The 14,831-nt window shown below is 35.9% G+C and overlaps 1 protein-coding gene across 1 annotated transcript in view, besides 1 other annotated feature; it reads right to left on the reverse strand.

Annotated features, from left to right (window-relative positions):
• The window catches only part of GBE1 (1,4-alpha-glucan branching enzyme 1), a 271,943-nt gene continuing 265,497 nt past the window's right edge, over positions 8,386-14,831 (reverse strand). The window contains exon 16 of the mRNA NM_000158.4: positions 8,386-9,146. Within this exon, the coding sequence (NP_000149.4) occupies positions 9,090-9,146 (57 nt within the window). The 3' untranslated portion in view covers positions 8,386-9,089. The remainder of the gene's footprint in view (positions 9,147-14,831) is intronic.
• Positions 9,427-9,476: a silencer, noted in NCBI's record as "silent region_14538". NCBI's record gives its function as "represses an Ori minimal core promoter by ATAC-STARR-seq in GM12878 lymphoblastoid cells {active_cell/tissue: GM12878}" and the evidence as "EXISTENCE:reporter gene assay evidence [ECO:0000049][PMID:35858748]".

Below are 14,831 nucleotides of genomic sequence, written 5' to 3' on the forward strand. Positions count from 1 at the left end.
TTTTTTTTTTTTTTTTTTTTTTTTGCAGTTCTTCAGTTTTCTCTTTTTCCATTATGACTTTGGAGGCCACAGGTTCAAGATAGCATAGCTACAGGATGGATAAGAGTCCCTTGCTATTCTGTATTGAGATGTGATATAAATGAAAAGTAAACTTTTGTTTTGTCCAGTCATTAAGATTTTAGGATTTACTCGTAAATTGGTCCTAGCTTCTCCCAGCTGAGAATTGCAGTCACAGCCCCTAATTTTTGAACGTCTACAAACTTCTTGTTTCTTAACATGAAATGTAGCTCCTAGATAGATGGCTGAAAAGTATACACCCTAGAAGCTGTTACTGTTTATTTAAGTTACTTAAGAGTAACTTAAATGTGAAAGAAATTTTACCAAATATCCTGAGTTTTGTTTCAGAATGTTTTTATTTATTCACCTGTAAACCAATACCCAAATAATAAGCGCAATATCTTACAGGAAGTAATCCAATGCAGATCAACAAGAGACCTACATTTTAGACATTTGCTTTCATGCAATCATGGTTTTAGATCTTTGCTTTGTCTTTTGGTCAGGGAAGATGCTGAAAAACAGTGGGCTGTCATTTTTCCAGTGACTTCAGAAAACTGCGTTGAGGCTCCTGATCCCAGTGTCTTTCAGCCCTGGTTTGTTTCCCTGGGACATCGGATGTAATTTGTTTTAACACTATATTTCTCCAGTAAAGGAGAACTATCTATTCAGGTATCTGTTTTTATTTTTCACACACACACACACACACACACACACACACACACACACGACTCTACATCTGATTTGGATTTCACTAGTTTTTCCACAATGTCTCCTTTTTGATCCTGAATCACATCTAGGATACCACATTACATTTAGTTGTCATGCCTCCTTAGCCCCCTCTGGACTGTCTAGGACAGTTTCTCAGACTTCCTTGTCTGGCATTTCCTTGTCTGGTCATGTATTCTGCAGAATATTCCTGTGATAGTTACTCTTACGTGTCAACTTGGATAGGCTATCATGCCCAGTTATTTAACCACATCCCAATCTAGGCGTTGTTGTGAAGGCTGACACCAACAATGTTGTGGCTAACATCAACGATGAATTGGCATTAAGTAAAAGATATTACCCTCGGTAGTGTGGTTGGGGCCTCATCGAATCAACTCACCAGCTTTATTAAGCTGCAATTAATAAATAAATGAAAATTGTATATATATTTATGATGTGCAATGCGATGTTTTGATACATGTATACATTGTGAGATGATTAAATCAAGCAAATTAACATATCCCTCATCTCACAAACTTACCATTTTCTTGTGGTGAGGACATTTAAGATCTACTGTTTTAGCAATTTTCAAGTATATAATAACTTGATATTAACTATAGTTACTATGCTATACAACAGATCTCCAAAACTTATTCCTTCTAACTGAAACTTTGTACACTTTGACCAACTTCTCCCCGCCCCGCAACCATTGCCCCAGTCCCCAGAAACTACCATTTTACTCTGCTTCTATGAGTTCAACCTTTTTAGATCCCACATATAAGTGAGAACATGTAGTACTATTTGCCTTTTGGTGTCTGACTTATAATTTTGTTTCTTTTTAAATGAGTGGAATGGGGACTTTAAGTTGAGAAATAAAGATAAGATAGAAGCATCATGCTCAAAAACTTTTTAAGAAATGATGAGGATAAAGGAGAAATATAAACAATAATTCCTAGTTCTCCTTATGGCAGAGACAATAAAGAAAATGATAATGACTTGCTGAGGAGTCAAACGACAGTATACAGTCATCATGAGGCAAAATACCCAACAAGGAAATGAGGGAGAGTGCGAGAGCAGGGGCCAAAAATGGCGAAATAAATGCAGATAGAGGATCACCCCTGGCATGAGCTCTCACTCTTTGGGGCAGTCCTCCAAACTCATGCCTCATATCTTACAGCAAAGTGGGGCATCCCATCCTCCCAAGTGGCTTCAAGTGCCACCCTGTCCTCCAACATAGACATTCAGATTCAATTAAAGGCAAGCAAGCAAAATAATACAACAGAGAGAGCCAACTTTTGATCCCTGATTTAGAGATTTCTGGTGATCCTTTGTGTAACTAGCATAAAAGACAGCTGAGAACAGTGAGATCAGCACAGACTAGACAAAAGGGGTGCAATAATAATAATTTTGCAGTTTGAGAATAAAAATGTGCTCAGCACAGGACACAGTAAAAAGAAAAGGCTTAATACATGGTAGCCAATATAGTATGTCTTTTAAAAAATAGGGGTTTCAGTAAAGAATTAGGTATTGTACTGCTTTTTCTACATAGAAAAGTCCCACTGAGTGATGCCCACTTACCATAAGAAAGAACAAGAGGGAATAGAGAGTGACTGTGTGTTTGTATGTGTGTAATATCATATGATCAGTTGTAATCAATAATTGACAGCGTGGCTTGGGGTGTGTGTGCAATTTCATTGCACACAGTATTTTTCATGTATATTACTGGAGTCGATGGAAAGTGACACTACAAACAGTTAAAAAAGAATCCTTATTGGACATAAATAAAGAAGGGATAAAGTTATTTCATCTCCTCCTCCTTCCTTTCTAAAGGAAAAATAGAAGACTCATAGCTAAATAGTGTGAGGTGAGAAATTCCTAAAGATTTGAAACATATGTATTGCATTTCATTGCACAGATCTAGAACATTCTTTAAATCCAAATAAAATCATGTGTTTGGGTTTGATGCTTGTATGTAACCAGAAAAATACCTAAAATTGAGAACAAGTATCACATACAGAGATCAAGTGATTCACTGGTTCAAGCCAAATATTAGAATTAGTGAACTTTGTGTGTTTTCAGTTGACTTACAAATTATATATGTGTTTTTTCACACATTCATATGTTATAATATGTATATGTTGGATGAGTTTATTCACACATTTACAGCTTTCTATTTCCTGTATTACCTTAGACAAGTATGCATAAAGAATTTGAACACTTACTTCATTTAATTCATATTCTTGTGTGGCAAAGTAATTTGGTGTGATAGCATTTTTGTCGATTTTCTGTTTTGTATTTCCTTACTGTTACTACCAGACAGCTGTTGAAATTTCAGGCCAATGGTTGATATCCCTCCCCCATCTTCAAGAAATTAACATCTAGTTGTATAAACATTTATTAATAACAATGTGTGTTCTTGAGAGTACAGACTTTCATAACAAAAAAAGATGAACCAAACTGTTTCTACCTATGAGCTCTCTTTTGCAATTCTTGCTTCCTCTGTCAATTATTCCTTCTGCCTGTAGTCTACCTAGGTTGCGAGTAGGAGGGGAAGAGGGAACGAAATAGAGAACCTCAACACTTGGTTGCTATGATGGGATCTAAGGCTATTTCAGTTTGTATACAGTTTACATTGCCCTCTTGGTTACCATAGAGATATTGTTAAATGTCATTCACAAGGTTGGGCTATATTAGTGCAAAGCCTGGAGTAGCTGAACACTAAGGGGGCATTACATCGACCGTAGGGGAAAGGAATTCACTGGGACATCCGTATGTTCCAAGAGGAAACATAAGCAATGAGGCACTGAGCATGAAGAGCTGCAACTTGAGCCCACCTCTCCTGACCACTATATCATACTATTCTTTTAAAATACAGTTCAGGTTTCTGGGTAAAACAGTTTACACAGCATATATAAGGGCCAAACACCTCTCTCTGGTCCAGCAGAAATGACAAGAAAAACTGTAAGTCATAAGTAAGCTTCTGAAAGACATGTTGTTAGCATAAGCATATCTAACACAAAATACATTTTTTTAATGTACATAAACATTGCTTTCTCTGCACAGTTTTTGCCAAGAGTTAAAATCCAGATGTAACACTTTATGGAGACAAAAACACTTACAGCTACTGTATTATAATTCCTCACACTACCAATTAAGAAATTCTGCCCTGAAGTATGAACGTTTCTCTGAAATTCTCTACAAATCACCATTAATAAGATAATAGGGCAGAAAAATTAGCAGGGAGTTCATTTGATTTTTTTCCCCCCTAAAGGCTGGCTTTAGTTAGAAAATTTATCTACATTTCTATTCTAACACATTGTGAATGATAAATGAACTCTACTGCTTAAAGGACATGACATTGCTATGCTATTTTCTTTCATCAGAATATTCTACCTAGCTCAGTGCTTGTCCCCTTGTAAGGAATAGAGAGGGAAATGAAACTCACTACTCTGAAGACCTCAAGTTTAGGGCATGACTCAAAATAGTAAAAAGAAATAGTCTGAGAGGCACAAGGCCAGCCAGAAAGCTGATTCACTGTTTTGGACTCTATCAGGTCTGTCTGTTCCAGCTCATTCTACATAGGAAAAGCAATAAGGAAGCAATTTTACATTGCTTTCATCACCAGATTCAATGGCTTCACGACCAGAGACAGAAAAGATACTTTTCCAGAAACTGAAAGCTGAATGCGAGAGGGAAACACATGGCCTTTCATCGCTTCCCCCACGATCTGTCTGCACTCGCTTCCACTCTCTTCTGTATTATTTGAAGAACAGGCTTCTTATTCAGACAACCTCCTGTATGATCCCCATAGCAATGGCTATAACCCTGATGGGTGACAAATGTTGAATTGGTATTGCTAAGGGGAGTGCTTCAGTCAGAGAAAGAAAAAAAAACTTGCATTCTTTTACAGCTGTTACAAGAAAAGTCAATTTATTATCACTGGTTAGTTTTTGAACTTGAGGAACATGGTGGCTAACTCCCTCATTTTAGGTTAGAGATACACACGTCAGCTAAGAACAGGGCAAAGTGAGAAACATTACATTTATAGAAAAGAGAATATGAGAAAAGTTGACCCTCAGAGTTCAAGTGGTATAAAGTGGGAAACATTCTAGGAGAAATGTTTACAATTCAGTTTTTGGCTATTATGAGCTATGGTATTTTCTGAGTAGGCTATTTATTAAATGAAAACCTTATGCATCACTAGCATTAGGTGTAAATCCTATTATGCATAATAGGGCAACTACTAGAACTCGTTTGCTAATATTAGAAAATGATAGCAAGAAATCTGTACTCATGTTTTCTAGAACATAAAAAATTGAAACAGCAAAATATTTATTTTTAAAAAGTCAACAAAGACAGGTCATTCATTTCTGATGTTGGTAATAAACACGTCAGAGAAAAAACATTGTAAGGCACATTACAAGAGTAAAATTTTGCAATTCTCTTGATTATTGCAACTCTTTTTATTTTATTTTATTTTATTATTATTATACTTTAAGTTTTAGGGTACATGTGCACAATGTGCAGGTTAGTTACATATGTATACATGTGCCATGCTGGTGTGCTGCACCCATTAACTCATCATTTAGCATTAGGTATATCTCCTAATGCTATCCCTCCCCCCTCCCCCCACCCCACAACAGTCCCCAGAGTGTGATGTTCCCCTTCCTGTGTCCATGTGTTCTCACTGTTGAATTCCCACCTATGAGTGGAACATGCAGTGTTTGGTTTTTTGTCCTTGCAATAGTTTACTTAGAATGATGATTTCCAATTTCATCCATGTCCCTACAAAGGACATGAACTCATCTTTTATGGCTGCATAGTATTCCATGGTGTATATGTGCCACATTTTCTTAATCCAGTCTATCATTGTTGGACATTTGGGTTGGTTCCAAGTCTTTGCTATTGTGAATAGTGCTGCAATAAACATACGTGTGCATATGTCTTTATAGCAGCATGATTTATAGTCCTTTGGGTATATACCCAGTAATGGGATGGCTGGGTCAAATGGTATTTCTAGTTCTAAATCCCTGAGGAATCACCACACTGACTTTCACAATGGTTGAACTAGTTACAGTCCCACCAACAGTGTAAAAGTGTTCCTATTTCTCCACATCCTCTCCAGCACCTGTTGTTTCCTTTTTAATGATTGCCCTTCTAACTGGTGTGAGATGGTATCTCATTGTGGTTTTGATTTGCATTTCTCTGATGGCCAGTGATGGTGAGCATTTTTTCATGTGTTTTTTTGGCTGCATAAATGTCTTCTTTTGAGAAGTGTCTGTTCATGTTCTTTGCCCACTTTTTGATGGGGTTGTTTTTTTCTTGTAAATTTGTTTGAGTTCATTGTAAATTCTGGATATTAGCCCTTTGTCAGATGAGTAGGTTGCAAAAATTTCTCCCATTTTGTAGGTTGCCTGTTCACTCTGATGGCAGTTTCTTTTGCTGTGCAGAAGCTCTTTGGTTAAATTAGATCCCATTTGTCAATTTTGGCTTTTGTTGCCATTGCTTTTGGTGTTTTAGACAAGAAGTCCTTGCCCATGCCTATGTCCTGAATGGTAATGCCTAGGTTTTCTTCTAGGGCTTTTATGGTTTTAGGTCTAACGTTTAAGTCTTTAATCCATCTTGAATTAATTTTTGTATAAGGTGTAAGGAAGGGATCCAGTTTCAGCTTTCTACATATGGCTAGCCAGTTTTCCCAGCACCATTTATTAAATAGGGAATCCTTTCCCCATTGCTTGTTTTTCTCAGGTTTGTCAAAGATCAGATAGTTGTAGATATGCAGCATTATTTCTGAGGGCTCTGTTCTGTTCCATTGATCTATATCTCTGTTTTGGTACCAGTACCATGCTGTTTTGGTTACTGTAGCCTTGTAGTATAGTTTGAAGTCAGGTAGCATGATGCCTCCAGCTTTGTTCTTTTGGCTTAGGATTGACTTGGCGATGCGGGCTCTTTTTTGGTTCCATATGAACTTTAAAGTAGTTTTTTCCAATTCTGTGAAGAAAGTCATTGGTAGCTTGATGGGGATGGCATTGAATCTATAAATTACCTTGTGAACTCCCATTCACAATTGCTTCAAAGAGAATAAAATACCTAGGAATCCAACTTACAAGGGATGTGAAGGACCTCTTCAAGGAGAACCTCTTCAAGGAGAACTACAAGCCACTGCTCAATGAAATAAAAGAGGATACAAAGAAATGGAAGAACATTCCATGCTCATGGGTAGGAAGAATCAATATCGTGAAAATGGCCATACTCTCTGTTTTGATTATTGAAAACATTTAGCCAATAAAGAACTTCCTAGAAGATGACATAACAATGAGAATGTTACTGATACATAAATGAAAAGTCCTACAGTAAAAAATATTAGAATATTAGAATGTTCCATAAAGGTCCTCTATTCTGTGATATAACCCAACTGCTTTCCATTTTGGACTCTTAATATTTTATTTGTTTGTATGGGTTTTTGTAATTCCTACCTAGCAACATGCATTTATTGCTCTTCTGGGTGGGGGAGAAGGGCACTTGACAGGGGCAATTAACTTACATTACATTGTTAAATCCTAACTTTAGACTGTGAAATCTAAAGAACCTATTAGCAAAATCAATCAATATAATGAAAATATGGCATATAATTAGTCCGTTCTTCCTCACTTTGCCAGAGGTCAAAATGAAAAGTAAATGTGTTCCAGGTGTTAAATAATTTATTATAATTTAAAAACTATACCTAATAAACAGTATATCTCTTCATATAGAACACATGCAAAATTAAGGAACTATAAACTACAACATGAAATATCATGCTTCATGATTCTGCGTTGTGTTTTAATCAATAACTCTCACAGTACACAGACCATGTGAGTGCTAAGATATTAATAATGTCCATGCAATGGGAAAACCATTACAGATGACTTTCAGTAATTTTCCCCAGCATGTATCATTATCAGCTGGCACTGCTGATTCTTTCAGGAAATCAAACTACTATTCTGTTTAGAAGTTAAAGTAAATAACACCTTTCACACTTAGATGCTCATGGCTTTATTTTAAAACAGTTTAAGGATGATGTTTAATATACAGTACAGGCTTGGCTGTAAAAATGTTTCTATTGCTTATCTCTCCTACTGAGTTTTTAATGAAAGAACTCATTTCTAATTAACTGCAAATAATCAGGCTAAAAACAAAAAACAAGCAGTCAGTATTAATATTAGGGAAAAATTTGTTCTTTTTAAAAAAGTAACAGATACTTTATGTCCCATAAGTGCATTATAATCTCTCAGTTATGAATCAATTATCTTAGACCTGTGACCTGGTATTTAATTAACCAAGGGGCAAATTCATGAAGAAGTATTCTACTGAGTGGAGATACTTAGTTTAGCTTCTAAAAGTGTTCAGGTTTACAACGAAGGAGTAGCTTAGATATCAAAATTGGTTAGTGTGATTTCAAGTTACAAAATTGTGCCTAAAAAAAATATTAATCTCCATGCTTCCTAGTCCATCATGTAGATGTGAATGTATGTGGAGAAGGTATTAGAGTTAAGAAGGTATTAGAAGGTATAAGAATACAATAATATTCATTTATAATCAAGCCCTATAATAGTATAGCAAAATAAACATTAGCAAAGGCAATTTTACAAAAGCTTTTTATTGATTGAAATGAAAGACATTTTCTGAAATGCTACAATTACCATTTCAGGGCTTCAGAAAGACTGAGATACTGGCATTTAACAAGATACTTAGTGGACAAGAGATCACAAAATAAAACACAAAATGAGACACGGATGAGTTCATACGTAATGGCTTTTATATTACCTTGGATATAATTCTTTATATCACTACTGCATATTTATTACAGTATTTCTAAACACAATTTGAAAAAAAGAAACAAAGAAACAATCTTGGTACCTCATAATTTAGACCAAAAGATATCAGAACAAATAGAGCCACCAAATATCCATCTTAAATACTGTGTACATTTAACAGAAATAATCATACATGACAAATGATTCAAATTTGAATTTAAAAGGATCAAATAATTAGCCAGGAAAGCAAAATGTTTTTAACATATTATATATAACACTTCCATTTGAGAATCCTAGCTGCTAAGATGACTTGAAAATATGGTCTAGGATTCCTAATATTTTAAACATATTCTCCCATCTACTTAAATAAAAGTTTGCTGTATTTGCATAAACCAATATTGAATTTCAGACACTTGATGGCTTGGCTAGACAACTGTATTCTGAAAAGCATACATGTTATAAGCTGTGTGACAGTGATAACAAGAAAACAAAACACAAATCTGCATCTGGTGGAGCTGAAATCAGGCCTCTTCAATTCGGCAGATCCACATTCTGAAGGATGAGGGCCACTCTGCTTGGAATGTACACCTACGTCAAAACAATTATGTCAGTGCAATTGAAGAAAGTACCAAACGGCCTGTCATTATGTCAAAGAAACATAGGCATGACGCAGTCTCACATCTGCCTAAAGTTACAGTTACCTTTACAATTTTACAAGCTCTTAGAAGGCTCAATTTCACAGTTCCAACAGTTCTGGCAGCAACATGACTACCATAAAGCAACCACCACTAGAGGGCGCCATACGACTTAATGAAAACCAATGCTCCTTACACAAGAATGACGTGAATGGCCCTGTTACTGCCATGTTGAGGCTGTATTAGGTGGTGAAGGAAGGCTGCCCCACAGTTTGCAATGTTACTACTTCATTTAGATGAAGAAAAGCAATATACAAGGCACTGGTTTTCCATCAAGACACTTTTATTTTTAATCTTGTTTTTTTTTTTCCTTTCAAGAACAAAAACTGAAATGTAATACAAGGAATCCTAACTCTCAATTTAAACCAATGAATAAGCTTGCCACTGCACTTAAACTAGGATTCAGATTCTCTCCATGGCATGCAAAGCCCTGACTCGCTCCTCCCTGCCTACATCTGGTATCCCAGCTCAGCTCCTTGCTTGCATCCTCACCCACTACACTCCAGCCGCAGGAGCCTTTCAGTTCCTTGGACACAACAAACACTCCCCTTTTGTTGGATCTTTGCCTATGATGTGCCTTCTGCTGTAAACACTCTTTGCCTTGCTGGTTCCTTATCTCTTGGAAAAATCCCAGCTATGTGGAGAGGCTTTCCTTGACAACCCTAGATATGATAAGTTCTTCTTTTCCAATCATGGCAGCTTTTTCGTTTCTTTCTGAACACTTAACACAATTTGTGAATGATTTTTCAGGTTTACCATCTGTTTCCCTCATTAGACTATGAGCTTTACAAAGGCAAAAGTCATACGTTTTATTTCTAACCCTCAGTTGGTGCCACTGAACAAGGTAGATGTTGATGACTGAATTAAAAAAATGAACAATGAACAAAGGAATAATAGTGGATCAATAGGTGCATATTTAACAAGATATTCTCTAATATATCTGAATTTTTTTATAAAATTGAGAAGTGATTTGAACTGCTTAATGCTTATTTATATGCTAGTTCAAACAACTTATCTAAGTATTAACAAAGCAAACAGTAAAAATAATATTGTAGATGGTTGTCATTGTGACAATCTGTCTTCACTTCTGACTTTGCTGATATTTTACTATTTTCAGTCACTTTATCTCTAAATGAAAGCTTGCCTGATGGTTTAAAAAAAAAAAGCTTTCAGAGGTTAGAACCAGAATGAAGGTGCAAAGCAAACATGACTTTAGGAAAAAACTCAAACAAATAGAACAGTTGATTTTCACTGAATGAGACTTGTATGTCCAATGCATCTCAACTCTACAAATGTTTTCTCTTAAGGTTCCACAATAAAGAACCCATACTACTCTTAAAAAAATCAGACATATTGATACAGCTGGTTAGTTTTTAACATCAAAAGTTAAAGCAGTTTTAAAATGGTGGCACTTATATTCTGGATTTAATGGCTAGAGAATAGTTTTTCTAATCTTCAATTCAAAGTAATAGTGATTTAGGAAATGAAAGTCATCTGCAAAAGATTAACAAATGCCAGCAGTCGCTGTGTAACTCAATGTCTCATGTTCTGTTTTGCAATACAGTATTTCCAAAAAGATAAATATTACATCCATGTAGTCACTAAGTGTGAGAAAACCATGTATTTCAGTGCTACAAACTGTTTCCCTAGAGTTTACACATTGTATTTAATATCTCATAACTATCATACCACATCAGAATTTCACTGCTAATGCAATCCTTTCCATGCAATGTTTTCTCTTTGTCATACGTAAGATGTTACGAGACTGATTCAATAAAAGGAAGCTGGAGTTATCCACGAATAAAGCAGGACTATTACCAAAGATCCAGACAGACCCAGTCCAAAGGAGGGCACATTTCCATAATCAAGCTACAGACAAAATGAACACAAACCAAAGCAAAGAAGGAGAAAAAAAAAACAGCCTGATTCAACCCATTCCCTCCCTACATCTTAGCAAAACATGTACAAATTGAGAAAGTGACCTACCCTTCTAAAGGAGTTTCCCATGTACTTATTAGGATGTCTAGTCTACATCTTTCTTTCTTTCTTTCCTTTTCTCTTCCTTCCTTCCTTTCTTTCTTTTTCTTTCTTCCTTCCCCTTCTCCCATTCTCCCTTTCTCCCTTTCTCCCTTTCTTCCTTTCCTTCCTTCCTTCCTTCCTTCCTTTTCTTTCTTTCTTTTTTTTTTTACATGGAGTCTTGCTATGTCACCAGGCTGGAGTGCAGTGGTGTGATCTCAGCTCACTGCAATCTCCGCCTCCCAGGTTCAAGCCATTCTCCTGTCTCAGCCTCCTGAGTAGCTGGTATTACAGGCATGCAACACCACACTCAGCTAAATTTTGTATTTTTAGTAGAGATGAGGTTTCTGCATGTTGGCCAGGATGGTCTCAATCTCTTGACCTCGTGATCTGCCTGCCTTGGCCTCCCATATTGCTGAGATTACAGGCGTGAACCACCGCAGCTAGTCATAGTCTACATATTTCATTTTGGGGATCACAGTAACTGGATTTAACTAATCAGTGGGACAGAAGGTTACAATTTGAATGGTTCTGAATTGTTCTGCCATGAGCAATCTAAAAGTGAAAACCAATCTAAACATTTCAGTAGAACCAGAAACTGGACAAGAGAATTTCAGTTCCCTCTACATTGAAAACATTTCTCTTATAGAGTATTGTCCTACAATGCAGGTAAAAAGACCCTGATAAGTCCAAGGTTCCTGGGAAAGTTGCAATGAAACACATTAGACAGGCCTAGGATAAATAATGACAGGTCTCTGTTAGTGCGTGTTATAGTGACATATCTCAGATTTGGATCCTATGCAATTGTGATATCTACTGTTTCATTCATAACCTCATTATTTCATTAATGAAATATAATAATAATTACATAATGATAATTTAGAACCAGTCTTACTCTTTGATGTTTTGGCATTTTAGCTTGTCTAAATTTAGCTTGTCTAAATTTTTTTTTTTTTTTCTTTTTAGAAGGAGTTTCGCTCTTGTTACCCAGGCTGGAGTTCAATGGCACAATCTTGGCTCACCGCAGCCTCTGCCTCCCAGGTTCAAGTGATTCTCCTGCCTCAGCCTCCTGAGTAGCTGGGATTACAGGGATGCGCCACCACACCCGGCTAATTTTTTGTGTGTTTTTAGTAGACACGGGGTTTCTCCATGTTGGTAAGGCTGGTCTCGAACTCCCGACCTCAGCTGTTCTGCCTGCCTCGGCAGGCTGGGATTACAGGTGTGAGCCACCACACCCATCCGAGAGGGTTTTTTTTTTTAAAGGATGCCATAACAAAGTTCCAGGTTTGTAACATATGCACTGCAATATATTCCCATTGTGGCACTTAATGGTTAAAAAATGCTCCAAGAACACTCACTAACTGATGCTGGTCTTTTTATGTAAGGAGGTTTATAATGACAGTTCCATCATACTTAGAGACCTCTTAATGCAATATGCTAAAAAAAAAACCCTTTGGTTCACAATTGTACAGTATCATTAACAGAAATACTTTGTAATAATATACATATATTTCACTGCAGTGTTAATTACCAGAATGTGTTTATATTGCTCCAGAGCCTTTGTGGTATAGGCAACATGGAAGAATTTCCCTAAGCCAGTGATTTTTCTTAACTATGGCTATTTATGGAATTTTGAGTTTTCTTCTGAGTATGTAAATCAATTTTCTTAGTGGTTAGAAAACTACTACTGATTATACTAAAGAACGTAAGATAATCAGAGCTAACCCTTATGATGAGACAATTACAGACATGAACAATTTGGGGTTCCTAAAATTTAGCCTAAGTATTGGCTCTGTAATTCTCATTTTATCATTTTAATTTATAAAATAGTTTTGATTAATGTGGCAAGAGAAAAGAAACATGAACACATTTAAGTAGATTTAAACACAATCATTTAAGTATATTTAAATATAAAAAGTATATTGATGTACCTGTATATAGAAGCCACTTATCATTCATGATAATATGCATGCTGATAAACATATCTCATATGCTCATTTATTAGCCTGTAAGCCCTAAACATTTTATACCTAGAATCGCCTTAAGAACATGAGACAACGTAGTATACAGCCATGAGTTTCATTTTTTTCTAGCTATATTAATAGTCTGCTCTTCACAAAGAGTCAGAATAGCACAGTACAATCCAATTCATTTATGAAGAGAGTCAAATGCATGCTAATCTACTCAGTTATTTTGACAACTTTAATGACTTAATTGACTCACTAACCATGAGTGTGGCTAAGACAATAACTGCTCACACAATGCTCTATTTTATGTCATTCAGGCAAAATGTTATTTTCCTCTAGGACTGTATTTTCCTCTAGGACTAATAATTGACTTGCAAAATTTAATTACACAGTTTTTGAAAACACAGTGTCAAACATTTAAAAAAAGAAAAGTTTAAAATGAAAAAATATTTAATACTTTAAAGGGCAATTTAAAAAATTCCCTTAGAAATTGTTAAGTTTAGAAATAGCACATACACATATAATTCTGGTAGAATGAAAACATCATTCAGTGGGTCGGGCATAGTGGCTCACGCCTGTAATCCCAGTACTTTGGGAGGCCGAGGCAGGTGGATCACCTGAGGTCAGGAGTTTGAGACCAGCCTGGCCAACATGATGAAACCTCGTCTCTACTAAAAATACAAAAATTAGCTGGGCGTGGTGGTGTGCGGCTGTAATCCCAGCTATTCGGGAGGCTGAGGCAGGAAAACTGCTTGAACCTGGGAGGCAGAGGTTGCAGTGAGTCAAGATCACGCCACTGCACTCCAGCCTGGGCAACAGAGTGAGACTCCGTCTCACAAAAAACAAACAAACATCATTCAATGAAAAAGTCATCAGATTCTTTCATAGTCTACATAAACACTTTTTTATAATAAAAATCACAGTTTTTTGAAAAATATAAAGATGATATAAATTAATTTTAGTTTTCACATACATGCTTTAGTTCATAAAATACTTTTCTAAGAAAAAATAAATTTTATTCTTGTATTCTAATTCTCATTATTTTGCATTGGGGTTAGGAGAAAAGTGACTCTAGTATTTCTGTACAGAAATGTATATTAGCTCATCTAACTTGTATACATTAAAAAAGTAAACTAAAAATCAAGATTTTCTTTCTTCTAAAAAACTATTTTCATAATTTTGAATAGAGCAGAAGATATTTTCCAATTGTTAAGCTGTATTAAAACTTACAACTGAGGGGCAATAAAAGTGATACATCTATGCCAAATCCTGTATTTAAATCAAGTCTACTTTTGAACCTCCAAATTTAGAATGAGAGTAAATACATCTACTTCTTATTGATAAGAAACCTAATTGCCAAAGTAATTAGTGCTAAACCTACTGCTTTATTCTCATTTTCAGCATCATCATTCAGTTACCGTAAAGAAATCTAATTCATTTAAGGCTCAATAATCTCTTATCTCTCATTTGTGCTATGGAATTTGGTTTTATGAATCAGAGGAGAGAAAGGAAGTCCCCTGCCTCCAGTGCACTGATTAACATATAGGTTAACATATTAAGTTCCGGTATCAGGAATCAAAATATAGAGAAATGAT

Source organism: Homo sapiens, chromosome 3 (genome assembly GCF_000001405.40).
Source record: "Homo sapiens chromosome 3, GRCh38.p14 Primary Assembly".
NCBI classification, from domain to species: Eukaryota; Metazoa; Chordata; class Mammalia; order Primates; family Hominidae; genus Homo; species Homo sapiens.